The sequence below is a fragment of the Homo sapiens genome, chromosome X, assembly GCF_000001405.40.
Source record: "Homo sapiens chromosome X, GRCh38.p14 Primary Assembly".
Taxonomy (NCBI): domain Eukaryota; kingdom Metazoa; phylum Chordata; class Mammalia; order Primates; family Hominidae; genus Homo; species Homo sapiens.
In genome coordinates, this window is record NC_000023.11 from 62,678,929 (window position 1) to 62,705,896 (window position 26,968).

General features: G+C 36.5%; 1 annotated feature.

Moving 5' to 3' along the window:
* Positions 17,310-17,811: an enhancer, noted in NCBI's record as "OCT4 hESC enhancer chrX:61915708-61916209 (GRCh37/hg19 assembly coordinates)". NCBI's record gives its function as "activates a minimal SCP1, AML or CMV promoter by ChIP-STARR-seq in naive H9 embryonic stem cells {active_cell/tissue: H9 hESC(naive)}" and the evidence as "EXISTENCE:reporter gene assay evidence [ECO:0000049][PMID:30033119]".

A 26,968-nucleotide genomic window follows, 5' to 3' on the forward strand; every position in this document is an offset into this window, starting at 1 on the left:
TGAAAAAGGAAATATCTTCCCATAAAAACTAGACAAAAGCTTTCTGAGAAACTTCTTTGTTATGTGCACATTCACCTCACAGGGTTGAACATTTCTTTTGATTGAGCAGTTCGGAAACAGTCTTTTTGTAGGATCTGCAATGGGATATTTGTAGGCGGTTTGAGGGATATGGTGAAAAAGGAACTATCTTCACATAAAATCTCGACAGAAGCTTTCTGAAGAACTTTTTTGGATGTGTGCATTCACTTCACATAGTTGAATCTTTGTTTTGATTGAGGAGTTAGGAAACTTATTTTGTATAATCTGCAAGGGGATATTTGTGAGCACTTTGAGGCATATGGTGAAAAGGGAAAAATCTCCACATAAAAACTGGACAGAAGCTTTCTGAGAAACTTCTTTGTGTTGTGTGCATTCATCACCCAGAGTTGAACGTTTCTTTTGACTGAGCAGTCTGGAAACAGTCTTTAAGTAGAATCTTCAAAGGGATATTTGTGAGCACTTTGAAGCCTATGGTGAAAAAGGAAATATCTTCACATAAAAACTAGACACAAGTTTTCTTGGAAACTGCTTTGTGATGTGTGCTTTCATCTCACAGAGGCAAAAGTTTCTTTTCATAAAGAAGATTGAATACTCTGCTCTGGTAGAAGCTGCAAAGGGATATGGTGAAAAAGGAAATTTCTTCACCTTAAAGCACGACGGAAGCTTTCTGAGAATCTTCTTGATGTCTGCATTCATCTCACAGAGTTAAAAATTTCTTCTGATTGACTAGTTTTGAAACAGTGTTTTTGTAGAATCTGCAAAGGGATATTTTTGAGTGCTTTAGGCCTATGGTGAAAAAAGAGATAGCTTTACATAAAAACAAGACAGAAGATTTCTCAGAAACTTCTTTGTGATGTTCGCATTCATCTCACACAATTGAACCTTTCTTTTGATTGAGCAGATTGGAAACAGTCTTTTTGTAGAATCTGCAAAGGGATATATTTGTGAGCGCTTTGAGGCCTATGCTGAAAAAGAAATATCTTCAAATTAAAACTAGTCAGAAGCTTTCTGAGAAACTTCTTTGTGATGTGTGCATTCACCTCACAGAGTTTAACAATTCTTTTGATTGAGCAGTTTGGAAAAAGTCTTTTTGTAAAATCTGCAAAGGGATATGTGTGAGCGGTTGGAGGCCTATGGTGAAAAAGGAAATATCTTCACATAAAAACCAGATAGAAGCTTTTGGAGAAACTTCTTTGTGATGTGTGCATTCAACTGACAGAGCTGAACCTTTCTTTACATTGAGCCGTTTGGAAGCAGTCTTTCTGTAGAATCTTCAAGGGTATATTTGTGGGTACTTTGAGGCCTATGGTGAAAAAGGAAATATCTTCATATAAAAACTCAACAGAAGGTTTCTGAGAATCTGCTCTGTGACGTGTGCATTCAGCTAACAGAGGTAAAGGTTTCTTTTCATTGAGCAGATTGGAAACTCTGTTCTTCAAGAATCTGCAAAGGGATATTTGAGAGTGCTTTGATACCTATGTCAAAAAAGGAAATACCTTCACATAAAAGCTAGAGAGAAGCTTTCTGAGAAACTCCTTTGTTTCTCACAGAAACAGAACAAATGTTCATCTCACAGAGTTGAACATTTCCTTTCATTGAGCAATTTGGAAACAGTCTTTTTGTAGAATCTGCAAAGGAATATTTGTGAGTGTTGTGAGGCCTACAGTGAAAAAGGCAATATTTTCGCATAAAAATTATACAGAAGCTTTCTGAGAAACTTTTGTGATGTGTGCATTCATCTCACAGAGTTGAACCTTTCTTTTGAGTGAGCAGTTTGGAAACAGTCTTTTTGTAGAATCTCCAAAGGGATATTTGTAGGCTCTTTCATGCCTATAGTGATAATGGAAATATCTTCACATAAAAACTAGACAGAAGCTTTCTGAGAAACTTGTTTGTGATGTGTGCATTCATCTCACAGAGGGGAACCTTTCTTTTGAGTGTGCAGTTTGGAAAGAGTCTTTATGTAGAATCTGCAAAGGGATATTTGTAAGCTCTTTGAGGCCTATGTTGGAAATGGAAATATCCTCACTTAAAAACTAGTCAGAAGGTTTCGGAGAAACTTCTTTGTGATGTGTGCATTCATCTCACAGACTTGAACCGTTATTTTAATTGAGGAGTGTGGAATCCGTCTTTTTGTAGAATCTGCAAAGAGACATTTGTGAGCACAATGAGGCCTATGGTGAAAAAGGAAACATCTTCACATAAAAACTGGAAAGAAGGTTTCTGAGAAACTTCTTTGTGATGTGTGCATTCATCTCACAGAGGTAACAATTTGCTTTCATTGAGCAAATTGGAAACTCTGTTCTTGTAGAATCTACAAAAGATATTTGGACGCGTTTTCAGGCCTATGGTGAAAAAGGAATTATCTTCACATAAAAACTAGACGGGAGCTTTCTTAGAAACTTTTTTGTGATGTGTGCATTCATCTCAGACAGTTGAAACTTTCTTTTGATTGAGCAGTTTGGAATCAGTCTTTATGTAGAATCTCCAAAGGGATATTTTTTAGTGCTTTGAGGCCTATGGTGAAAAAGAATATATCTTCATATAAAAATTAGACAGAAGCTTTCCGAGAAAGTGCTTTGTGATGTGAGCATTCACCTCACAGAATTTAACCCTTCTTTTGGTTGAGCAGTTTGGAAACATTCTTTTTGTACAATCTGCAAAGGGATACTTTTGAGCTATTTGAGGCCTATGGTGAAAAGGAAATATCCTCACATAAAAACTAGAGAGAAGCATTCTTAGAAAATTATTTGTGATGCGTGCATTCATCTCACAGAGTTGAAGGTTTCTTTTGATTGAACAGATTGGAAACAGTCTTTTTGTATAATCTGCAAAGGGATATTTGTGAGTGCTTTGAGGCCTATGCTGAAAAAGGAAATATCTTCAAGTAAAAACAAGACAGAACATTTCTGAAAAACTTCTTTGTGAGGTGTGCAGTCATCTCACAGAGTTGAACCATTCTTTTGATTGAGCATTTTAGAAACATACTTTTTTTTAGAATCTGCAAACGGATATTTGTGAGCGCTTTGATTCTTATGGTAAAAAAGGAAATATCTTCACATAAAAACTAGACAGAAGCTTTCCGAGAAAGTGCCACGTGACGTGTGCATTCATCTCACACAGTTGAACCTACCTTTTGATAGAGCATTTTGGAAACAGTCGTTTTGTAGAATTTGCAAAGGGTTATTTCTGAGCTGTTTGAGGACTATGGTGAAAAAGGAAATATCTGCACATAAAAACTAGATAGAAGCTTTCTGAGAAACTTCTTTCTGTTGTGTGCATTCATCTCACAGAGTTGAAAATTTCTTTTGATTGAGCAGTTTGGAAACAGTGTTTTTGTAGAATCCACAAAGGGATATTTATGAGCACTTTGAGGCCTATGGTGAAAAAGGAAGTATTTTCACGTAAAAACTAGACAGAATCTTTCTGAGAAGCTTCTTTGTGATGTGTGCACAGAGTTGAACCTTTGTTTTCATTGAGCAGTTTGGAAACAGTCCTATTGTAGAATCTGCAAAGGGATACTTGGGAGCCATTTGAGACCTATGGTTAAAAAGGAAATATCTTCACATAAAAATTAGACAGAAGGTTTCTTAGAAACTGATTTGTGATCTGTGCATTCATCTCACAGAGGTAAACGTTTCTTTTCATGAGCAGATTGGAAACACTGTTCTTGTAGAATCTGCAAAAGAATATTTTTGAGCCCTTTGAGGCCAATGGTGAAAAAGGAAATATCTTCACATAAAAAGAAGACAGAAGTTTCTGAGAAACTTTTTTGTGATGTGTGCATTCATCTCACAGGGTTGAAACTATCTTTTGATTGAGCAGTTTGGGAACAGTCTTTTTCTGGAATCTGCAAAGGGACATTTGTGAGTGCTTTGGGGCCTAAGGCAAAAGAGGAAATATCTTTACATAAAACCTAGACAGAAGCTTTCTGAGAAACTTCTTTGTGATGTGTGCATTCATCTCCCAGAGTTGAATATTTCTTTGATTGAGCAGTTTGGAAACAGTATTTTTGTAGAATCTGCAAAAGGATATTTGTGAGCACTTTGAGGCCTATGATGAAGAAGGAAATTTTTTCACATAAAAACTAAACAGAAGCTTTCTGAGAAACTTCTTTGGATATGTGCATTCATCTCATGGAGTTGAACATTTCTTTTAATTGAGCAGTTTCAAAAATGTCTTTTTGTAGAATCTGCAAAGGGATATTTGTGATTGCTTTGAGGGCTATGGTGAAAAAGGAAATATCTTAATGTAAAAACTAGGCAGAAGCTTTCTGAGAAACCTTTTGTGATGTGTGCATTCATCTCACAGAGTTGAACCTTTATTTTGATTGAGCAGTTTGGAAACAATCTTTCTGTAGAATCTTCAAAGTGATATTTGTGAGCGGTTTGAGGCCTATGGTGAAAAAGGAAATATCTTCACACAAATACTAGCAGAAGCTTTCTCAGAAACTTCACTGTGATGTATGAATTCATCTCACAGAATTGAAACTTTCTTTTGATTGAGCAGTTTGGAAACAGTCTTTTTGTAGAATCTGCAAAGGAATTTTTTGAGTCCTTTGAGGTCTATGTGAAAAAGGAAACATCTTCACATAAAAACTAGCCAGAAGGTTTCTGAGAAAAAGCTTTGTGATGTGTGCATTCATCTCACAGAGGTAAACGTTTCTTTTCATTGAGCAGATTGGAACCTCTGTTCTTGTAGAATCTGCAAAGGGATATCTATGTTCACTTTGAGGCCAATGGTGAAAAAGGAAATATCTTCATATAAAAAGGAGACAGAAGCAGTCTGAGAAACTTCTTTGTGATGTGTGCATTCATCTCACAGATTTGAACCTTTCTTTTGATTGAGCAGGGCAGAAACAGTCTTTTTGTAGATACTGCAGAGGGATTTTTTGAGCCCTTTGAGGCCTGTGGTGAAAAAGGAAATATCTTCATGTAAAAACTAGACAGAAGCTTTCTGACAAAGATCTTTATGATGTGTGCATTCATCTCACAGAGTTGAACCTATCTTTTCATTGAGCATTTTGGAAACAGTCGTTTTGTAGAGTCTGCAAAGGGATATTATTTATGAGCAGTTTGTGGCCTACGGTGAAGAAGGAAATGTCTTCATGTAAAAACTAGACAGAAGCGTTCTGAGATACTTCTTTCTGTTGTGTGCATTCATCTCATAGATTTGAACATTTCTTTTGATTGAGCAGTTTGGAAACAGTCTTTTTGTAGAATCTGCCAAGAGATATTTGTGAGCGGTTTGAGTCTTACGGTGTAAAAGGAAATATCTTCATGTAAAAACTAGACAGAAGCATTCTGAGAAACTTCATTCTGTTGTTTGCATTTGTCTCACAGAGTTGAAAATTTCTTTTGATTGAGCAGTTTGGAAACAGTCTTTTTGTAGAATCAGCAAAGAGATGTTTGTGAGTGCTTTGAGGACAATGGTTAAAAAGGTAGTATCTTCACATAAAAACTAGACAGAATCTTTCTCAGAAACTTATTTGTGATGTGTGCTTTCATCCCGCAGAGTTGAACCTTTCTTTTGATTGAGCAGTTTTAAAAGGGTCTTTTAGTAGAATCTGCAAAGGAATATTTGTGAGCCCTTTGAGGGCAATGGTGAAAAAGGAAATATCTTCACATAAAAACTAGACAGAAGGTTTCTGAGAAACTGCTTTGAGATACGTGCATTAATCTAACAGAGGTAAAAGTTTCTTTACATTGAGCAGATTGGAAGCTCTCTTCCTGTAGAATCTGAAAAGGGATATTGGTGAGTGCTTTCAGGCCCATGGTGAAATAGGAAACATCTTCACATTAAAACTGGACAGAAGCTTTCTGAGAATCTTCTTTGTGATGTGTGCATTCTTCTCACAAAGTTGAACCTTTGTTTTGATTGTGCAGCTTGGAAAGAGTCTTTTTGTAGAATCTGCACTGGGATATTTGTGAGTGGTTTGAGACCTATAGTAAAAAGAAACATCTTCAAGTAAAAACTAGACAGAAGCTTTCTGATAAACTTCTTTCTGTTGGGTGCATTCGTCTCACAGAGTTGAACATTTCTTTTCATTGAGCAGTTTGGAAACAGTCTTTCTGTAGAATGTGCAAAGGGATATTTGTGAGTTCTTTGAGGCCTATGTGAAAAAGGAAATATCTTCATATAAAAACTGGACAGAAGTTTACTGAGAAAATGCTTTTTGATGTGTGCATTCATCTCACAGAGGTAAACGTTTCTTTTCATTGAGTAGATTGGAAAGTCTGTTCTTGTACAATCTGTGTATGGATATTTGTGAGCGCTTTGATGCCTATAGTGAAAAAGGAAAAAAGTAGACAGAAACTTTCTGATAAACTTCTTTCTGATATGCGCATTCATCTCACAGAATTGAACCTTTCTTTTGATTGAGCAGCTTGGAAAAACTCTTTTTGTAGAATCTGCAAAGGGATATTTTTGAGTGGTTGGAGGCCTATGGTGAAAAAAGAAATATCTTCCCATAAAAACTAGACAGAAGCTTTCTGAGAAACTTCTTTCTGTTGTGTGCATTCATCTCACACATTTGAACTTTTCTTTTGATTGAGCCATTAGTAAACAACAGTCTTTTTGTAGAATCTGCAAAGCAGTATTTGTGAGCCCTTTTTAGGCCTGTGTTGAAAAAGGAAATATCTTCACATAAAAATAGACAGAAGGTTTCTGAGAAACTGCTTTGTAATGTGTACATTCATCTCACAGAGGTAAACGTTTGTTTTCATTGAGCAGATTGGAAACTCTCTTCTTGTAGAATCTGCAAAGGAATATTTGTGAATGCTTTGAGGCCTATGGTGAAAAAGGAAGTATTTTCACTTAAAAACTAAAAGTAAGCTATCTGAGGAATTTCTTTATGATGTGTACATTCATCTCACACAGCTTAACCCTTCTGTTGATTGAGCAGTTTGGAAACAGTCTTTTTGTGGAATCTGCAAAGGGACACTTTTGAGTGCTTTGAGGCCTATGGTGAAAAGGAAATATCTTCACATAAAAACCAGACAGAAGCTTTCTGAGAAACTTCTTTGTGATGTGTGCATTCATCTCACCGAGTTGAACCTTTCTTTTGATTGAGCAGTTTGGAAACAGTCTTTTTGTAGAATCTGCAAAGGGATATTTATGAGCACTTTGAGGCCTATGGTGAAAAAGGAAGTATCCTCACATAAAAACTAGACATAAACTTTCTGAGAAACTTCTTTGTGATGTGTGCATTCACCTCAGAGAGTTGAAACTTTCTTTTGATTGAGAACTTTGGAAACAGTCTTTTTGTAGAATCTGCAAAGTGACATTTGTGAGCGCTTTGAGGCCTATGGGGAAAAATGAAATATCTTCACATAAAAACTAGGCAGAAGCTTTCTGAGAAACTTCTTTGTGATGCGTCCATTCATCTCACAGAGTTGAACATTTCTTCTGAATGAGCAGTGTGGAAAAAGTCTTTTTGTAGAATCTGCAAAGGGATATTTCTGAGCACTTTGAGGACTGTGGTGAAAAGGGAAATATCTTCACATAAAAACTAGAGAGAAACTTTCTTAGAAACTTCATTGTGATGTGTGCATTCGTCCCACATATTTGAATTTTTCTTTTGATTGAGCAGTTTGGAAACAGTCTTTTTGTAGAATCTGCAAAGGGATATTTGTGAGCGCTTTGATGCCTATGGTGAAAAAGGAATAACTTCACATGAAAACTAGACAGAAGCTTTCTGAGAAACTTCTTTTTGATGTGTGTTTTCATCTCACAGATCTGAAACTTTCTTTTGATTGAGCAGTTTGGAAACAGTCTTTTTACAGAACCTGCAAAGGGATATTTGTGAGCACGTTAAGGCCTGTTGTGAAAAAGGAATAACTTCACATGAAAACTAGACAGAAGCTTTCTGAGAAACTTTTGTGATGTGTGCATTCATCTCACAGACTTGAATATGTCTTTTGATTGAGCAGTTTGGAAGCATTCTTCTTGTAGAATCTGCTAAGGGATATTTTCGACTGCTTTGAGGCCTATGGTGAAAAAGTAAATATCTTCACATAAAAACTAAACAGATGCTTTCTGAGGAACTTCTTTTTGATGTGTGCATTCATCTCATGGAGTTGAACCTTTCTTTTGATTGAACAGGTGGAGACTGTCTTTTAGCAGAATCAGTAATGGGATATTTGTGACCCCTTTGAGGCCTATGGTGAAAAAGGAAATATCTTCCCATAAAAACTAGACAGAAGCTTCCTTAGAAACTTCTTTGTGATGTGTGAATTTATCTCACAGATTTGAAACTTTCCTTTTGATTGAGCAGTTTGCAAACACTCTTTTTGCAGAATCTGCAAAGGTATATTATTTGTGAGCAGTTTAAAGCCTAGGGTGAAAAAGTAAACATCATCAAATTAAAACTAGACAGAAGGTTTCTGATTAACTTCTTTGTGATGTGTGCTTTCATCTCACAGTGTTGAATCTTTCATTTGACTGAGCAGCTTGGAAACAGTCTTTTTGTAGAATCTGCAAAGGGATATTTGTGATAACTTTGAAGGCTGTGGTGAAAAAGAAATATCTTCACATAAAAACTAGCCAGAAAGTTTATGAGAAACTGCTTTGTGATGTGTGCATCCTTCTCACAGAAGCAAACATTTCTTTTCATTGAGAAGATTGGAAACGCTGTTCTTGTAGAAACTGCAAAGGGATATTTGTGAGCACTTTGAAGCCTATGGTGAAAAAGGAAATATCTTCACATAAAAACTAAACAGAAGGTTTCTGAGAAACTTCTTTGTGATGTGTGCCTTCATCTCACAGAGTTGAACCTTTCTTTTGAAAGAGCAGTTTGGAAACAGACTTTTTGTAGAATTCGCAAAGGGATATTTGTGAGTGGTTTGAGGCATATGGTGAGAAAGGAAATATCTTCATGTAAAAACTAGACAGAAGCATTCTGAGAAATGTCTTTCTGGTACATACATTCATCTCACAGAGTTGAATATTTCTTTCAATTGAGCAGCTTGGAAACAATCTTTTTGTAGAATCCACAAAGAGATACTTGTGAGCGCTTTGAGGCCTATGGCGAAAAAGGAAATATCTTCCCATAAAACCTAGACAGAAGCTTTCTGAGAAACTTCTTTGTGATGTGTGGATTCAGCTCACAGTGTAGAAACTTTCATTTGATTAAGCAGTTTGGAAAGAGTCTTTTCATAGGATCTGCAAAGGGATATTTTTGAGCACTTTGAGGCCTATGGTGAAAAAGGAAATATCTTCACATAAAAAGTAGACAAAAGCTTTTGGAGAAACTTCTTTGTGATGTGTGCATTCATCTCACAGTGTTGAACCTTTCTTTGGTTGAGCAGTTCAGAAACTGTCTTTTTGTACGTTCTTCGTAGGGATATTTTTGAGCCCTTTGAGGCCTATGGTGAAAAAGTAAATATCTTCACGTAAAAACTAGACAGAAGTTTTCAGAGAAACTGCTTTGTGATGTGTGCATTCATCTCACAGAGTGAACCTTTGGTTTAGTAGAGCAGTCTGGAAGCAGTCTTTTTGTAGAATCTGCAAAGGGATATGTGTGAGCGGTTGGAGGCCTATGGTGAAAAAGGAAATATCTACACGTAAAAATCAGACAGAAGCTTTCTGAGAAACTTCTTTCTTTTGTGTGCATTCATCTGACAGAGTTTAACCTTTTTTGATTGAGCAGTTTGGAAACAGTCTGTTTTAGAATCCACAATGGGATATTTGTGAGTGTTTTGAGGACTATGGTGAAAAAGGAAATATCTTCACGTTAAAGCTAGACAGAAACTTTCTGAGAAACTTCTTTATGATGTGGGCATTTATCTCACAGAGTTGAACCATTCGTTTCATTGAGCAGTGCAGAAACAGTCTTTTTGGAGATTCTGCAAAGGGATATTTGTGAGCCCTTTGAGACCTATGGTGAAAAAAGGAAATATCTTCACATAAAATCTAGACAGATTGAGCAGTTTGGAAGCATTCTCTTTGTACAATCTGCAAAGGGGTATTTCTGAGCGATTTGGAGCCAACGGTGAAAAAGGAAATATCTTCCCATAAAAATTACACAGATACTTTCTTAGAAACTTCTTTGTGCTGTGTGCATTCATCTCATAGAGTTGAAACTTTATTTTGATTGAGCAGTTTGGAGACAGTCTTTTTGTAGAATCTGCAAAGGATTATTTCTGAGTGCTTTGAGGGCTATCATGATAAAGGAAATATCTTCACATAAAAACTTGACAGAAGTTTCCTTCGAAACTTCTTCTCTGTGAATTCATCTCACAGATTTTAAACATTCTTTTGATTGAGCAGTTTGCAAACAGTCTTTTGCAGGATCTGCAAAGGGATATTTGTGAGAGGTTTGAGTCCTAGAGAGAAAAAGTAAATATCATCACATTAAAACTAGACAGAAGCTTTTTGGGTAACATCTTTGTGACTTGTGCATTCATCTCAGAGAGTAGAACCTTTCTTTTGATTGAGCAGTTTGGAAACGGTCTTTTTATAGAATCTGCAAAGGGATATTTGTGAGCTCATTGAGGCCTATGGTGAAAAAGGAAATGCCTTCACAAATAAACTAGACAGAACGTTACTGAGAAAATGCTTCTTTGTGATGTGTGCTTTCATCTCACACAGGTAAATGTTTCTTTTCATTGAACCGTTTGGAAACTCTGTTCTCTGCAGAATCTGTAAAGGGATATTTGTGAGTGCTTTGAGGCCTATGGTGAAAAAGGAAATATCTTCACATAAAAACTAGACAGAAGCTTTCTGAGAAACTTCTTTGTGATGTGTGCATTCATCTCACAGAGTTGAACCTTTGTTTTGATTGAGCAGTTTGGAGACAGTCTTTTTGTAGAATCTGCAAAGGGATATTTGTGAGTGCTTTGAGGACTATGGTGAAAAAGGAACTATCTTCTCATAAAAACTAGACAGAGACTTTCTTAGAAACTTATTTTTGATGTGTGCATTCATCTCACAGATTTGAAACTTTCTTTTGATTGAGAAGTTTGCAAACAGTGTTTTGGCAGAATCTGCAAATGGATATTTTTGAGTGCTTTGTGGCCTATGGTGAAAAAGGAAATACCTTCACATAAAAACTAGACAGAAGCTTTCTGAGAAACTTATTTGTGATGTGTGCATTCATCTTACAGGGTTGAACCATTCTTTTGTTTTGGGGGTTTGGAAACAGTCTTTTTGTAGAATCTGCAAGGGGATATTTTTGAGCACTTTGAGGCGTATGGTGAAAAAGGAAATATCTTCACATAAAAACTATAAAGAAGGTTTCTGAGAAACTGCTTTTTGATCTGACAATGTATCTCACAGAGGTGAACCATCCTTCTGATTGAGTAGTATGGAAACAGTCTTTTTGTAGAATCTGCAAATGGATACTTGTGAGCACTCTGAGGCCTTCGTTGGAAAAGGAAATATCTTCACATAACTACTAGAGAAAAGGTTTCTGAGAAACTTCTTTGTGACTTGGGCATTCAACTCAAAGAGGTACCCATTTCTTTTCATTGTGCGTATTGGAAACTCTTTTCTTGTAGAGTCTGCAAAGGGATATTTGTGAACATTTAGAGGCATATCATGAAAAAGGAATATCTTCACCTAAAAACTAGACAGAAACTTTCAAAGAAAATTCTTTGTGATGTGTGCATTCATCTCATGGAGTTGAACCATTCTTTTGTTTGTGCAGTTTGGAAACAGTCTTTTTGTAGATTCAGGAAAGGGATATTTGTGGGTGCTTTGTGGTCGATGGTGAAAAAGGAAATATCTTCACATTAAAATTAGACAGAAGCTTTCTGAGAAACTTCTTTGTGATGTGTCCATTCATCTCACAGAGTTGAAACTTTCTTTTGCTTGAGCAGTTTGGAAAGTCTCTTTTTGTAGAATCTGCAAAGGGATATTTGTGAGCGATTTCAGTCCCATGGTGAAAAAGCAAATGTCTTCACATAAAAACTAGACAGAAGCTTTCTCAGAAACTTCTTTGAGACGTGTGCATTCATTTCACAGAGGTACCCATTTATTTTCATTGAGCAGATTGATAACTCTCTTCTTGTAGAATCTGCAAAGGGATATTTGTGAGCGTTTTGAGGTCTATAGAGAAAAAGGAAATGTCTTCATATAAAAACTAGACAGAAACTTTTGGTGAAACTTCTTTGTACTGTGTTCATTCATCTTACAGAACTGAACCATTCTTTTGATTGGGCAGTTTGTAAACAGTCTTTTTGTAGAATCCCCAAAGGGATATTTGTGAGCACTTTGAGGCCTATGGTGAAAAAGGAAATATCTTCAAATAAAAACTAGACAGAAGCATTCTGAGAAACTTCGTTGTGATGTGTGCCTTCATCTCACAGAGTTGAACCATTCTCTTCATTAAGCACTTTGGAAATAGTCTTTTTGTAACATCTACAAAGTGATATTTGTGAGCACTTTGAGGACTATGGTGAAAAAGGAAATATCCTCACATAAAAACTAGACAGAATCTTTCTGAGAAACTTCTTTGTGATGAGTGCATTCATCACACAGAGTTGAACCATTCTTTTGATTGAGCAGTTTGGAAACAATCTTTTTGTATAATCTGCAAGGGGATATTTTTGAGCGCTTAGAGGCCTATGGTGAAAAAGCAAATATCTTCACATAAAAACTAGACAGAAGCTTTCTGAGAAACTTCTTTTTGATGTGTGCATTCATGTCCCAGAATTGAACCATTTTTTTTTTCTTGAGCAGTTTGGAAACAGTCTTTATGTAGAATCTGCAAAGGGATATTTGTGAGCTCTGTGGGGTCGAAGGTCAAAAAGGAAATATGATCACAAAAAAAATAGAAGGAAGGTTTCTGAGAAACTGCTCCCTGATGTGTGCATTTTCCTCACAGAAGTAAAAGTCTCTTTTCATTCAGCAGTTTGGAAACTCTGTTCGTATAGAATCTGCAAAGGAATATATGTGAGTGCTCTGAGGCCTATGGTTAAAAAGGAAATAGCTTCACATAAAATCTAGAAAGAAGCTTTCTGAGAAACTTCTTTGTAATGTGTTCATTCGTGTCACAGAGTTGAACCATTCTTTTGATTGAGCAGTTTGGAAACAATCTTTTTGTAGAATCTGCAAAGGGTTATATGTGAGCGCTTTCAGTCCTATGGTGATGATAAAAAGAAATATCTTCAGATAAAAAGTAGACAGAAGGTTTCTGAAAAACTGCTTTGTGATGTGTGCATTCATCTCACAGAGTTCAATGTCTCCTTGGATTGAGCAGTTTTGAAACAGTCTTTTTGTAGAATCTGCAAAGGGATATTTTTAGGTGGTTTGAGGCATATGGTGGAAAAGGAAATATCTTCACATAAGAACTAGACAGAAGCTTTTGAAGAAATTTGTTTGTGATGTGTGCATTCAAGTCACAGACTTGAACAATTCTTTTGATTGAGGAGTTAGGAAACAGTGTTTTTGTACAGTCTGCAAATGGATAATTTTGAGCCCTTTCGGGCCTATGGTGAAAAAGGAAATATCTTCACATTAGAACTAGAAGGAAGCTTTCTGAGAAACTGTTTTGTGATGTGTGCATTCATCTCACAGCGGTAAATGTTTCTTTTCATTGAGCATTTTGGAAACAGTCTTTTTGTAGAATCTGCAACGGGATATTTTTGAGTGCTTTGAAGTCTATGTGGATATCTTCACATAAAAACTAGAAAGAAGGTTTCAGAGGAACTGCTTTGTGATGTGTGCATTCATCTCACAGAGATAAACGTTTCTATTCATTGAGCAGTTTGGAAGCTCTGTTCTTGTAGAATCTGCAAAGGGATATTTGTGAGTGCTTTGAAGCCTATCAATCATCATGAAAAAGGAAATATTTTCACATAAATACTAGAAAGAAGTTTTTTGAGAAACTGCTTTGAGATGTGTGCATTCATCACACCAAGGTAAAAAAGTTTCTTTTCATTGAGCAGTTTGGAAACTGTTTCTGTAAAATCCACAAAGGGATGTTTGTGAGCACTTTGAGGCCTATGGTTAAATAGGTAATATCTTCACATAAAAACTAGACAGGAGCTTTCTGAGAAGCTACTTTATGATGTGTGCATTCATCTCACAGAGGAAAACGTTTCTGTTCATTGAGGAGTTTGGAAACTGCAGTTTGGAAAACTGCATAAGGCAGTTCCTCAGAAACCTTCTTTCTAGATTTAATGTGAAGATAATTCCTTTTTTAACATGGGCCTCAAAGTGCTCAGAGCTATCTCTTTGCAGATTCTACAAAAAGACTGTTTCCAAACTGCTTCATCAAAAGAATGGTTCAACTCTGTGAGATGAATGCACACATCACAGACAAGTTTCCCAGAAAGCTTCTGTCTAGTTTCTTTGTGAAGATATATCCTTTTTCACCATTGGCATCAAACCCCTCACATATATCCCTTTGAAGATTCTACAAAAAGATTATCCAAACTTATCAATCAAGAGAATGGTTCAACTCTGTGAGATGAATGCACACATCAAAAAGAAGTTTCTCAGAAAGGTTCTTTCTAGTTTTTATTTGAAGATATTTCCTTTTTCACCATAGGCCTCAAGTGCTCGGAAATATCCCTTTGCAGATTCTAGAAGAATAGAGTTTCCACACTGCTCAATGAAAAGAAACGTTTACATCTGTGAGATGAATGCACACATCACAAAGCAGTTTCTCAGAAATCATCTTTCTAGCTTTTATGTGTAGACATTTCCTTTTTCACCATAGGCCTCAAAGCACTCAAAATATATCTTTTCAGGTTCTACAAAAAGACAGATTCCAAACTACTCGAACAAAAGAATGGTTCATCTCCTTTAGATGAATACACACGTCACAAACTAGTTTCTCAGAAAGCTTCTGTCTAGTTTTCATGTGCGTTTATTTCCTTTTTCACCATAGGCATGAAAGCGCTCCCAAGAATCCCTTTGGAGATTCTATAAGAACAGATTTTCCAAACTGCTGACTGAAAAGAAACCTTTACCTCTGTGTGATGAATGCACACATCACAGAGCAGTTTCTCAGAAACCTTCTTTCTTGTTTTTTGTGAAGATATTTCCTTTTTCACAACAGGCCTGAAAGCACTCCCAAGTATCCTTTTGCAGATTCTACAAAAAGACTGTTTCCAGACTGCTCAATCAAAACAAAATTTCAATTCTGTGGGATGAATGCACTTATCCCAAAGAAGTTTCTAGGAAACCTTCTTTCTGGTTTTTATGTGAAGATATTTCCTTTTTCACCATAGGCCTCAAAGCACTCAAAAGTATCCCTTTGCAGATTCTACAAGACCAGAGTTTTCAAACTGCTCAATGAAAAGAAACGTTTACCTCTGTAAGATGAATGCACATATCTCAAAGCAGTTTCTCAGAAAACTTCTTTCTAGTTTTTTGTGAACATATTTGTTTTTCACCATAAGCCTCAAAGCGCTCACAAAAATCCCTTTGCATATTGTACAAAAAGAAGGTTTCCAAACTGCTCAATCAGAGGAATGGTTCAACTCTGTGAGATGAATTCACATCTCACAAAGAAGTTTCTCAGAAAGCATCTGTCTAGTTTTTATGAGAAGATATTTCCTTTACCATCACAGGCCTCAAAGTGGTCACAAATATCCCTTTGCAGATTCTACAAGATCAAAGTTCTAAAACTGCTCAATGAAAAGAAACGTTTAACTCTGTGAGATGAATGCACACATCACAAATCAGTTTCTCAGAAACCTTTTGTCTAGCTCTTATATGAAGATATTTCCTTTTTCACCATATTCTTCAAAGTGTTCCAAATATCCCTTTACAGATCTTACAAAAAGACTGTTTCCAACCTGCTCAATCAAAAGAATGGTTCAACTCTTTGAGATCAATGTGCACACCACAAAGAAGATTGTCAGAAAGCCTCAGACTAGTTTTCATGTGAAGATATTTCCTTTTTCTCCATAGTCCTCAAAGAGTTCAAAAATATCCCTTTCCAGATTCTACAGGAACAGACTATCAAAACTGCTCAATGAAAATAAACGTTTACATCTGTGAGATGCATGCATGCATCACAAAGCAGTTTATCAGAAAGCTTCTTTCTAGTTTTTATGTGAAGATATTTCCTTTTTCACCACAGGCCTCAAAGTGCTCCCAAATATCTGTTTGCAGATTCTGCAAAAAGACTGTTTCCAAACTGCTCAATCAAAAGAATGTTTCAACTCTGGGAGGTGAATGCACACATCACAAAGAAGTTTCTCAGAAAGCTTCTGTCTAGTTATTATGTGAAGATATTTCCCTTTTCAACATAGGCCCCAAAGGGCTCACAAATATCCCTTTGCATATTCTACAAGAACAGAGTTTCCAAACTTTGCAATGAAAGGAAATGTTTACTTGTGTGAGATGAATGCACACATCACAAAGCAGTTTCTCAGAAACCATCTTCCTAGTTTTTATTTGAAGATGTTTCCTTTTTCACCATAGGCCTGAAAGTACTCCCAAATATCCCTTTACAGATTCTACAAAAATACAGTTTCCAAAGTGCTCAATCAAAAAAATGGTTCAACTCTCTGGGATGAATGCACACATCACAAAGAAGTTTCCTGGAAAGCTTCTGCCTAGTTTTTATGTGAAGATATTTCCTTTTTCACCATAGGACTCAAAGCAATCACAAATATCCCTTTGCAGATTCTAAAAAAAGGCTGTTTCCAAACTGCTCAATCAAAAGTATGGTTCAACTGTGTGAGACGAATGCACACATCACAAAAAAGTTTCTCAGAAAGCTTCTGTCTAGTTTTTATGTGAAGAGATTTCTTTTTGCATCATAGGCCTCATAGCACTCAGAAATATCCCTTTGAACATATTTCAAAAAGACTCTTTCCAAACTGCTCACTAAAAAGAAACGTTTACCTCTGTGGCATGAATGCACACATGACAAAGTAGTTTCTCAGAAAGCTTCTGTCTAGTTTTTATGTGAAGGCATTTCCTTTTTCACCATAGGCCTCAGAGCACTCACAAATATCCCTTTGCAGATTGTACAAAAAGACCCTTTCCAAACTGCTCTATCAAAACAATTTTTCAAATCTGTGAGTTGAATGCACGCATCACAAACAAGTTTCTCAGAATTTATCTGTCTAGTTTTTATGTGCAGATATTTCCTTTTACACAATAGGCCTCAAATCGCTCACAAATATCCCTTTGAAGATTCTACAAGAACAGAGTTTCCAAACTGCTCAATGAAAAGAAACGTTTATCTCTCTGAGATGAATGCACACATCACAAAGCAGTTTCTCAGAAACCTTCTTTCTAGTTTTTATGTGGGGACATTTCCTTTTTCACCCTAAGCCTCAAAGTGCTCAAAAATATCCCTTTGCAGTTTTACAAAAACAATGTTTCCCAACTGCTCAAGCAAAAGAATGTTTCATCTCTGTGAGATTAATGCACACATCACAAAGTACTTTCTCAGAAAGCTTCTGCCTAGTTTTTATGTGATGATATTTCCTTTTTCACCATAAGCCTCAAAGCGCTCCCAAATATCCCTTTGCAGAATCTACAAAGGACTGTTTCCAAAATGCTCAATCAAAAGAATGGTTCAACTCTGTGAGATGAATGCACACATCACAAAGATGTTTCTCAGAAAGCTTCTGTGTAGCTTCTATGTGAAGATATTTCCTTTTTCACCATAGGCCTCAGAGCACTCACAAATATCCCTTTGCAGATTCTACAAAAATGGTGTTTCCAAAATGCTGAATCAAAAGAAAGTTTTAACTCTGTGAGGTGAATGCACATATCACAAATTAGTTTCTCTGAAAGCCCCTTTCTAGTTTTTATGTAAGGATATTTCCTTATTCACCACAAGACACAAAGGACTCCCAAGTATCCCTTTCGAGAGTGTGCAGAAACAGTGGTTCCAAACTGTTCCATCAAAAGAATGGTTCAACTCTGTGAGATGAATGCACACATCACAGAGCAGTCTCTCAGAAAGCTTCTGTCTCGTTCGTATTGGAAGATAATTCCTTTTCACCACAGGCCTCCATGTGAATCCAAATATCCCTTCACAGATTCTACAAACACTGTGTTTTCAAACTGCTCAATCAAAAGAATGGTTTAACTCTGTGAGATGAAAGCACAGATCACAAAGCAGTTTCTACGAAAGCTCCTTTCTAGTTTTTATGTGGGGATATTTCCATTTTCAACATAAGCCACAAAACACTCACAAGTATCCCTTTGCAGTTCCTAGAAAAATAGTGTTTCTAAACTGCTCAATCAAAAGAATGGGTCAGCTCTGTGGGAGAAATGCACACTTCACAAAGCAGTTTCTCAGAAAGCTTCCTTCGAGTTTTTAGGTGAAGATATTTCCTTTTTCACCTTAGGCCTGAAAATGCTCCCAAATATCCCTTTGCAGATTCTACAAAAACGGTGTTTCCAAATTGCTGAATCAAAAGAAGGTTTTAGTTCTGTGAGACAAATGCACACATCACAAAGCAGTTTCTAAGAAAGCTCCTTTCTAGTATTAATGTGAGGATAATTCCTTTTTCATCATGGGCCTCAAAGCACTCACAAATATCCCTGGGTAGATTCTAGAAAAGCAGTGGTTCCAAACTGCTCAACCAAAAGAATGGTTCAACTCTGTTAGAGGAATGGACACATCACAAAGCAGTTTCTCAGAAAGATTATTTCTAGTTTTTATGTGAAGATATTTCCTTTATTACCATAGGCCTCAAAGCACTCCCAATTATCCCTTTGCAGATTCTGCAAAAACAGTGATTCCAAACTGCTCAATCAAAAGAATGGTTCAACTCTGTGAGATGAATGCACACATCAGAAAGCAGTTTCTGAGAATGCTTCTCTCTAGTTTGTATTGGTAGATATTTGTTTTTCACCAAAGGCCTCCAGGTGAATCCAAATATCCCTTTGCAGATTCTACAAACACTCTGTTTCCAAACTGCTCCATCAAAAGAATGGTTCAACTCAGTGAGAGGAATGCACACATCACAAAGCAATTTCTCAGAAACTTACTTTCTAGTCTGTATTGGAAGATATTTCCTTTTTCACCATAGGCCTCAAAGGGCTCCAAAATAGCCCTTTGCACATTCTAGTAGAACAGAGTTTCCAATCAGCTCAATGAAAAAAGCGTTTAACTCTCTGAGATGAATGCACACATCACAAAGCAGTTTCTCAGAAAGCTTCTGTCTAGTTTGTATCAGAGGGCTATTCCTTTGTCACCATAGGCCTCAAGGTGAATCCAAATATCCCTTCGCAGATTCTACAAAAACTGTTTTTCCAAACTGCTCCATCAAAAGTATAGTTTAACTCTGTCAGCCAAATGTACAGATCACAAAACAGTTTCTAAGAAAGCTCCTTTCTAGTTTTTAACGTGAGGATATTTTCTTTTTCACCATTGGCCTCAAAGCACTCAGAAATATCCCTGTGCGGATTCTAGAAAAACAGTGATTCCAGACTGCTCAATAAAAAGAATGGTTCAACTCTGTTTTAGGAATGCACACATCACAAAGCAGTTTCTCAGAAAGCTTCTGTCTAGTTTGTATCAGAAGATATTTTCTTTGTCACCATAGACCTCAAGGTGAATCCAAATATCTCTTCACAGATTCTACAAAAACAGTGGTTCCAAACTGCTCAGTTGAAAGAATGGTTCAACTCTGTGAGATGAATGCACACATCACAAAGCAGTTTGTCAGAAAGCTTCTGTCCAGTTTGTATCGACAGATATTTCCTTTTTCAATATAGGACTCCATGCAAATCCAAATATCCCTTTGCAGATTCTACAAACACTGTGTTTTCAAACTGCTCAATCAACAGAATGGTTAAAATCTGTGAGCTGGATTCACACATCACAGAGTTTGTGAATGCACACACACAGACTTCCCAAACTGCTCAATGAAAAGAAACATTTAACTCTGTGAGATGAATGCACACATCACAAAGCAGTTTCTCAGAATGCTTCTGTCTAGTTTGTATCAGAAGTTATTTCCTCTGTCACCATAGGCCTCAAGGTGAATCCAAATATCCCTTCACAGATTCTACAAACACTGTGTTTCTGAACTGCTCAATCCAAAAAATCGTTTAACTCCATGAGACAAATGCACAGATCACAAAGCCGTTTCTAAGAAAGTTCCTTTCTAGTTTTTGTGTAAGGATATTTCCTTTTTCACCATAGGCCTCAAATCACTCGCAAATATCCCTTTGCAGATTCTAGAAAAACAGTGGTTCCAAACTGCTCAATCAAAGGAATGGTTCAACTCTGTGAGAGGAATGCACACATCACAAAGCAGTTTCTCAGAAACCTTCTTTCTAGTTTTTATGTGAAGATATTTCCTTTTTCACTATAGGCTTCAATGCACTTGCAAATATCCATTTGCAGATTGTAGAAAAACAGAGTTTCGAAACTGCTCAATATAAAGAAACATTTAACTCCTTGAGATGAATGCACACACCACAAAGCAGGTTCTAAGAATCTTTCTCTCTAGTTTGCATGTGAGGATATTTTCTTCTTCAACATAAGCATCAAAACACTCCAAAATATAAACTACAAAGATTCTGCAAAAACTGTTTCCAAATTGTTCAATGAAAAGAATGGTTTCACTCTGTGAGATGAATGCACGCCTCACAAAACTGTTTGTCGGACACCTTCTTTCTAGTTTACATCAGAGGATAATACCTTTTTCACCATAGGCCTCAGTTTAATCCGTTTTATCCCTTCCTAGATTCTACCAAAACTGTGTTTCCGAACAGCTCAATGAAAGGAAGGTTTAACTTTGTGAGATGAATGCACGTATGACAAAGAAGTTTCTCAGAAAGCTTTCTTTTGATTGAGCAGATTTGAAACACTCTTTTTGTAGAATCGGCAAGTGGATATTTGGAGCGCTTTGAGGCCTATGGTGGAAAAGGAAATATCTTCACATAAAAACTAGTCAGAAGCATTCTCAGAAACTTTCTGAGACCACATGTTCTCACTGTTATGTGGGAATTGAACAATGAGAACACTTGGACACAGGAAGGGGAACATCACACACCAGGGCCTGTTGTAGGGTGGGGGGAGGGATAGCATTAGGAGATATATCTAATGTAAATGACGAGTTAATGGGTGCAGCACACCAACATGGCACATGTATACATATGTAACAAACCTGCAAGTTGTGCACATGTACCCTAGAACTTAAAGTATAATAAAAATATATTAAAGAAAACACACACACACACAAAACAAAGATGGCTTGTTTCTAGTTTTTATCTGGTGATATTCTCTTTTTTCCCATAGGCCTAAATGGGCTCCGAAATGTCCCTTCACAGATTCCACAAAAAAAGTGTTTCTAACCTGCTGAATCAAAAGAAAGGTATTACTCCGTGAGATGAATCCACATATTTTAATACAGTTTCACAAGTAGCATTTTTCTAATTTTTATCTGGGGATATTTAGTTTTTCCAAATAGGCCTTAATTGGCTACCAAATGACCCTTCACAGATTCTACAAAAAGAGTGTTTCCAACCTGCTGAATCAAAAGAAAGTTTAAACTCTCTGAGATGAATCAACACTTCACAAAGTAGTTTCACAGATAGCTTCTTTCTAGTTTTCATCTGGGGATATTCAGTTTTACCCCATATGCTTCAATGGGCTTTCATATGTCCCTTCATGGATTCTACAAAAAAAAAAGTGTTTCCAATCTGCTGAATCAAAAGAAAATTTTAACTTTCTGAGATGAATCTACACATCACCAAGCAGTTTCACAGATAGCTTCTTTCAAGTTTCTAATTGGGAATGTTCCGTTTTTCTCCATAGACCTCAAGGGGCTAAGAAAAGTTTCTTTGCAGCTTCTACATAAAGAGTGTTTCCAACCTGCTGAATAAAAAAAAAAACAGGTTTAATTTTGTGTAATGAATCCACATATCACCAAGAAGTTTCACAGATAGCTTCTTTCTAGTTTTTAATCTGAGAATATTCGGTTTTTCCTCACAGGCCACAAAGGGTTCCCAAATGTCTTTGTGCAGATTCTACAAAAAGAGAGTTTTCAACCTACTGCATCAAAAGAAAGTTTTAACTCTGTAAGAAGAATCCACACATCAACTGGCAGTTTCATAGATAGATCCTTTCTAGTTTTTAGCTGGGGATATTCATTTTTCCCCCTTTGCCCTCATTGGGCTCCCAAATGTCCCTTCACAGATTGCACAAAAAAGTGTTTCCAAACTGCTGAATCAAAAGAAAGTTTTACCTCAGTTAGCTGAATCCACACTTCTTGAAGCAGTTTCACAGATAGCTTTTGCCAAGTTTTTATCTGGGGATATTCAGTTTTTCTTCATAGGCTGAATGGACTCTTGAATCTCCCTTTGCTGATTCTACAAAAAGAGTGTTTTTAACTTGCTGAATCAAAAGAAACGTTTAACTCTGTGAGATGAATCCACACATCACCAGGCAGTTTCCCAGATAGCTTCTTTTTAATTTCTATCTGGTGATACAAAATTTTTCCCCATAGGCCTCTATGGGCTGCCAAATGTTCCTTTGCAGATTCTACAAAAAGGGTGATTCCAACCTGGTGAACCAAAAGAAAGGTTTAATTTTGTAAGTTGATTCCACCCATCACTAAGCAGTTTCATAGATAGCTTTTTTTTAAGTTTGTGTCTGTGGTCTTTTTCTTTCTTTCTTTTCTTTCTTTCTTTCTTTCTTTCTTTCTTTCTTTCTTTCTTTCTTTCTTTCTTTCTTTCTTTGTCTAGGCCTAGATGGTCTCCCAAATTTCCCTTTGCAGATTCTAAAAAATAATGTTTCAAACCTGCTTAATCAAAAGAAAGTTTTAACTTTGTGAGATGAATCCACACATCAGCAAGCAGTTTCACAGATAACTTCTTTCTAGCTTTTAACTGGGGATAACCTGGTTTTCCCCGTAAGCCTTGAGGTTCTCAGAAATCTCCCTTTGCACATTCTATAATAAGAGTGTTTCCAAACTGCTGAACTGAAAGAAAGGTTTAGCTCTGTGAGATGAATTCACACATCACAAAGCAGTTTCGCAGGTATCTTCTTTCTAGTTTTAATCTGGTAATATTCAGTTTTTCCCCACAGGCAATGATGGGCTCCCAAATGACCTTTCACAGTTTCTACACAAAGAGTCTTTCCAACCTGCTGAATCAAAAGAATGGTTTCCCTAGGAGGGATGAATTCATATATCCTCAAGCAGTTTTACAGATAGATAGATTCTTTCTAGATATTATCTGGGGATATTCGGTTTATCCAAATAGTCTCAATGAGCTCCCAAATGTCCCTTCACAGATTCTACAAAAAGAACCCTTTTAACCTGCTGAATCAAAAGAAACGTTTAATTCTGTGAGATAAATCCACACATCACCTGGCAGTTTCACAGATAACTTCTTTCTAATTTTTATCTAAGGATGTTCGTTTTTTTCCCTGTAGGCCTCAATGGGTTCTCAAAACTCCCTACACACATTCTGCAGAAATGTTTCCAACCTGCTGAATCAAATAAAAAGGTTTAACTCTGTTAGTTGAATCCACATATCACCAGACAGTTTCAGAGATATCTTCTTTCTAGTTTTTTTCCGGGGATATTCCCTTTACACCTCTATGGGCTTCCAAATGTCCCTTTGCAGATTCCTGAAAAACATTGTTTCCAACCTGGTAAATCAAAAGGAAGGTTTAACTTTGTTAGATAAGTCCACATATCACCAAGGAGATTCACAGATATCTTCTTTCTAGTTTTTATCTAAGGATATTTGATTTTTCCCCTTAGGTTTCAATGGGCTCTGTTGTGTCCATTTGCAGATTCTACAAAAAGAGTGTTTTCAATCTGCTGAATCAAAAGAAAGGTTAAACTCTCTGAGATGAATTGACATTTCACAAAGCAGTTTCACGGATATCTTCCTTCTAGCTTTTATCTGGGGATATTCAGTTTTTCTCCGTAGGCCTTAATGGCTCCCAAATATCTCTTGGCCAATTCTACAAAAAGAGTTTTTCCAACCTGCTGATTCAAATGAAAGGTGTAACTCTGTGAGATAAATCAAAATGTTAAAAAGCAGTTTTACAAATAACCTCTTTCTAGTTTTTATCTGTGGATAATCAATCTTTCCCCATAGGCCTCAATGGACTCCTCATTGTCCCTTTGCTGATTCCATAAAAGGATTCTTTCCAACCTGCTGTATCAAAAGAAAGGTTTAACTTTATGAGATGAATCCACACATTACAAAGCAGTTTCACTGATACATTCTTTCTAGTTTTTATCTGGGTATATTTGGTTTTCCCCATAGGCCTCAATGGGCTCCCAAATATCCCTTCACAGATTATACTGAGAGAGAGTTTCCAACCTACTGAATCAAAAGAAAGTTTTAACTCTGTGACATGAATCCACGTAGCACAAAGCAGTTTCACAGGTAGCATCTTTCTAGTTTTTGTCTCTGGATATTCTGTTTTCCCCACAGGCCTCAATGGTCTCCTAATTTTCTGTTCGCAGATTCTACATAGAGAGGAGTATTATCAACCTATTGAATCAAAAGAAAGGTTTAACTTTGTTAGGTGAATCAATAAATAACAAAGCAGTTTCACAGATAGCTTCTCTCTAGTTTTTATCTGGTGATATTCAGTTATTCCCTATAGGCCAAAATAAGCTCCAAAATGTTCCTTTGCAGATTGCACAAAAAGAACTTTTTTTAACCTCCTGAATCAAAAGAAAGGTTTAACTCTGTGAGATGAATCTACGTATCTCAAAGCAGTTTCACAGATAGCTTCATTCTAGTTTTTATCTGGGGATATTCGGTTTGTCTTCTTAAGCCTCAGTGGGCTCTGAAAAGTCCCTTCACATATTCTACAAAAAGTGTGTTTCCACCCTGCTGAAACAAAGGAAAAGTTAAACTCTGTGAGCTGAATCAACACTCCAAAAAGCAGTTTCATAGGTAGCTTCTTTCTAGTTTTTATCTGTAATATTCCGTTTTTCCCTTAAGATCTCATTTGACTCTCAAATGCACTTTTGCAAGTTCTACAAAAAGAGTGTTTCTAACATGCTTAATCAAAAAAAAACATAATTCTTTGAGTTGACCAGACACATCACAAAGCAGTTTCACAAATAGTTTCTTTCTACTTTTGATCTAGGGATATTCGGTTTTTCCCTTAGGCTTCAATGGGCTCTCAAATGTCCCTTTGCAGATTCTACAAAGAGTGATTTCAACCTGCTGAATCAAAAGAAAGCTTTAAATCTATGAGATGAATCCACACAACACCAAGCAATTTCACAAATAGTGTCTCTCTAGTTTTTAAGTTGGAATATTCAGTTCCTCCTCCTGATTGATTTTCTTCTCCAATGTCCCTTTGCAGATTCTACAAAAAGAGTTTTCAAACTGCTGAATCAAAAAAAGGTTTAACTCTGTGATACCATTCCACACATCACCAAGCAGTTTCACAGATAGCTTATCTTTTTTTTTTTAATCTAGGGCTAATTGATTTTTCCTCATAGGCCTCAATGGGCTCTGAGGTGTCACCTCACAGTTTCTACAAAAGAGTATTTCCAACCTGCTGTATCAAAAAATAGGTTTAATTTTTGTGAGATGATTCCCCACATCACCAACCAGTTTCACAGATAGCTTCTCTCTAGTTTTTATCTAGAAATATTCAGTTTTCCCCACATGCCCCAATGGGCTCCAAGGTGTCCCCTGGTTGATTCTACAAAAAGAGTGTTTTCCACCTGCTGAGTCAAAATGAAGGTTTAACTCTGTGAGATGAATCCACATATCACCAAGCAGTTTCACAGATAGCTTCTTTCTAGTTTTTATCTGGGGATATTCAGCTTTTCCCCATAGGCCTCAATGGGCTCCCAAATGTTTCTCTACAAATTCTACAAAAAGAGTGTTTCCAACTGGCTGAAAGAAAAGAATTGTTTAACTCTGTGAGATGAATCCACACATCACAAAGCAGTTTCACAAATGGCTTCATTCTGGTTTTTATCAGGGCATATTTTATTTTTCCTGATAGGAGTCAACAGACTCCCAAATGTCCCTTTGCAGATTCTACAAGAAAAGTATTTACAACGTGCTGAATCAAAAGAAAGGTTTACCTCTGAAAGATGAATTCTCACATCACCAAACATTTTCACAGATAGTTTCTTTCTATTTTTTATCTGGGGATATTCTGTTTTGTTCCCAGAGGTCTCAATGGGGTCCAAAATGTCCCTTCACAGATTCTACAAAAAGAGAGTCTCCATACTGCTGAATCAAAGAAAAGTTTCACTTTGTGAGATGAATCCACACATCACAAAGCAGTTTCACAGATATTTTCTTTTTGATTTTTATCCAAGGATATTTGTTTTTTTCTCATAGGCCTCCATGTTCTATCAAATATCTTCACAGATTCTACAAAAAGAGTGTTTCCAAATTGCTGAATCAAAAGAAATATTTAACTCTGTGAGATGAATCCACACGTAACAAAGCATTTTCCCAGACAGCATCTTTCTACTTTTTATCAGGTGATATTCGGTTTTTCCCCATAAGCCTTAATGGGCTTCCTAAAGTCCCTTCACAGATTCTACCAAAAACAGCTTATTTCTAGATTTTCTTTGAGTTTATTCAGTTTTTCCCTATAGGCCTCAATGGGCTCTTAAACGTCCCTTCACAGACTCTACAAAAAGAGTTTTTCTGACCTGTTGAACCAAAAGAAAGCTTTAACTCTATGAGATGAATCCAGCTATCATAAACCAGTTTCACAGATAGTTTCTTTCTAGTTTTTATCTGAGGATATTCAGTTTTTCTCCATAGGCCTCAATGGGCTCCAAAATATCCTTGGCAGATTCTACAAAAAGTGTTTACAACATGTTGAATCAATAGAAAGCTGTAAGTCTGTGAGATCAAGGGAAATATAACAAAGCATTTTCACATATGCCTTCTTTCTAGTTTTTATCTGGGGATATTTTGCAGATTCTACAAAAATAGTGTTTCCAACCTGTGGAATGAAAAGAAAGGTTTAACTCTGTGAGATGAATCCACACATCACCAAATAGATTCACAGATAGATAGTTTTTTTCTAGTTTTT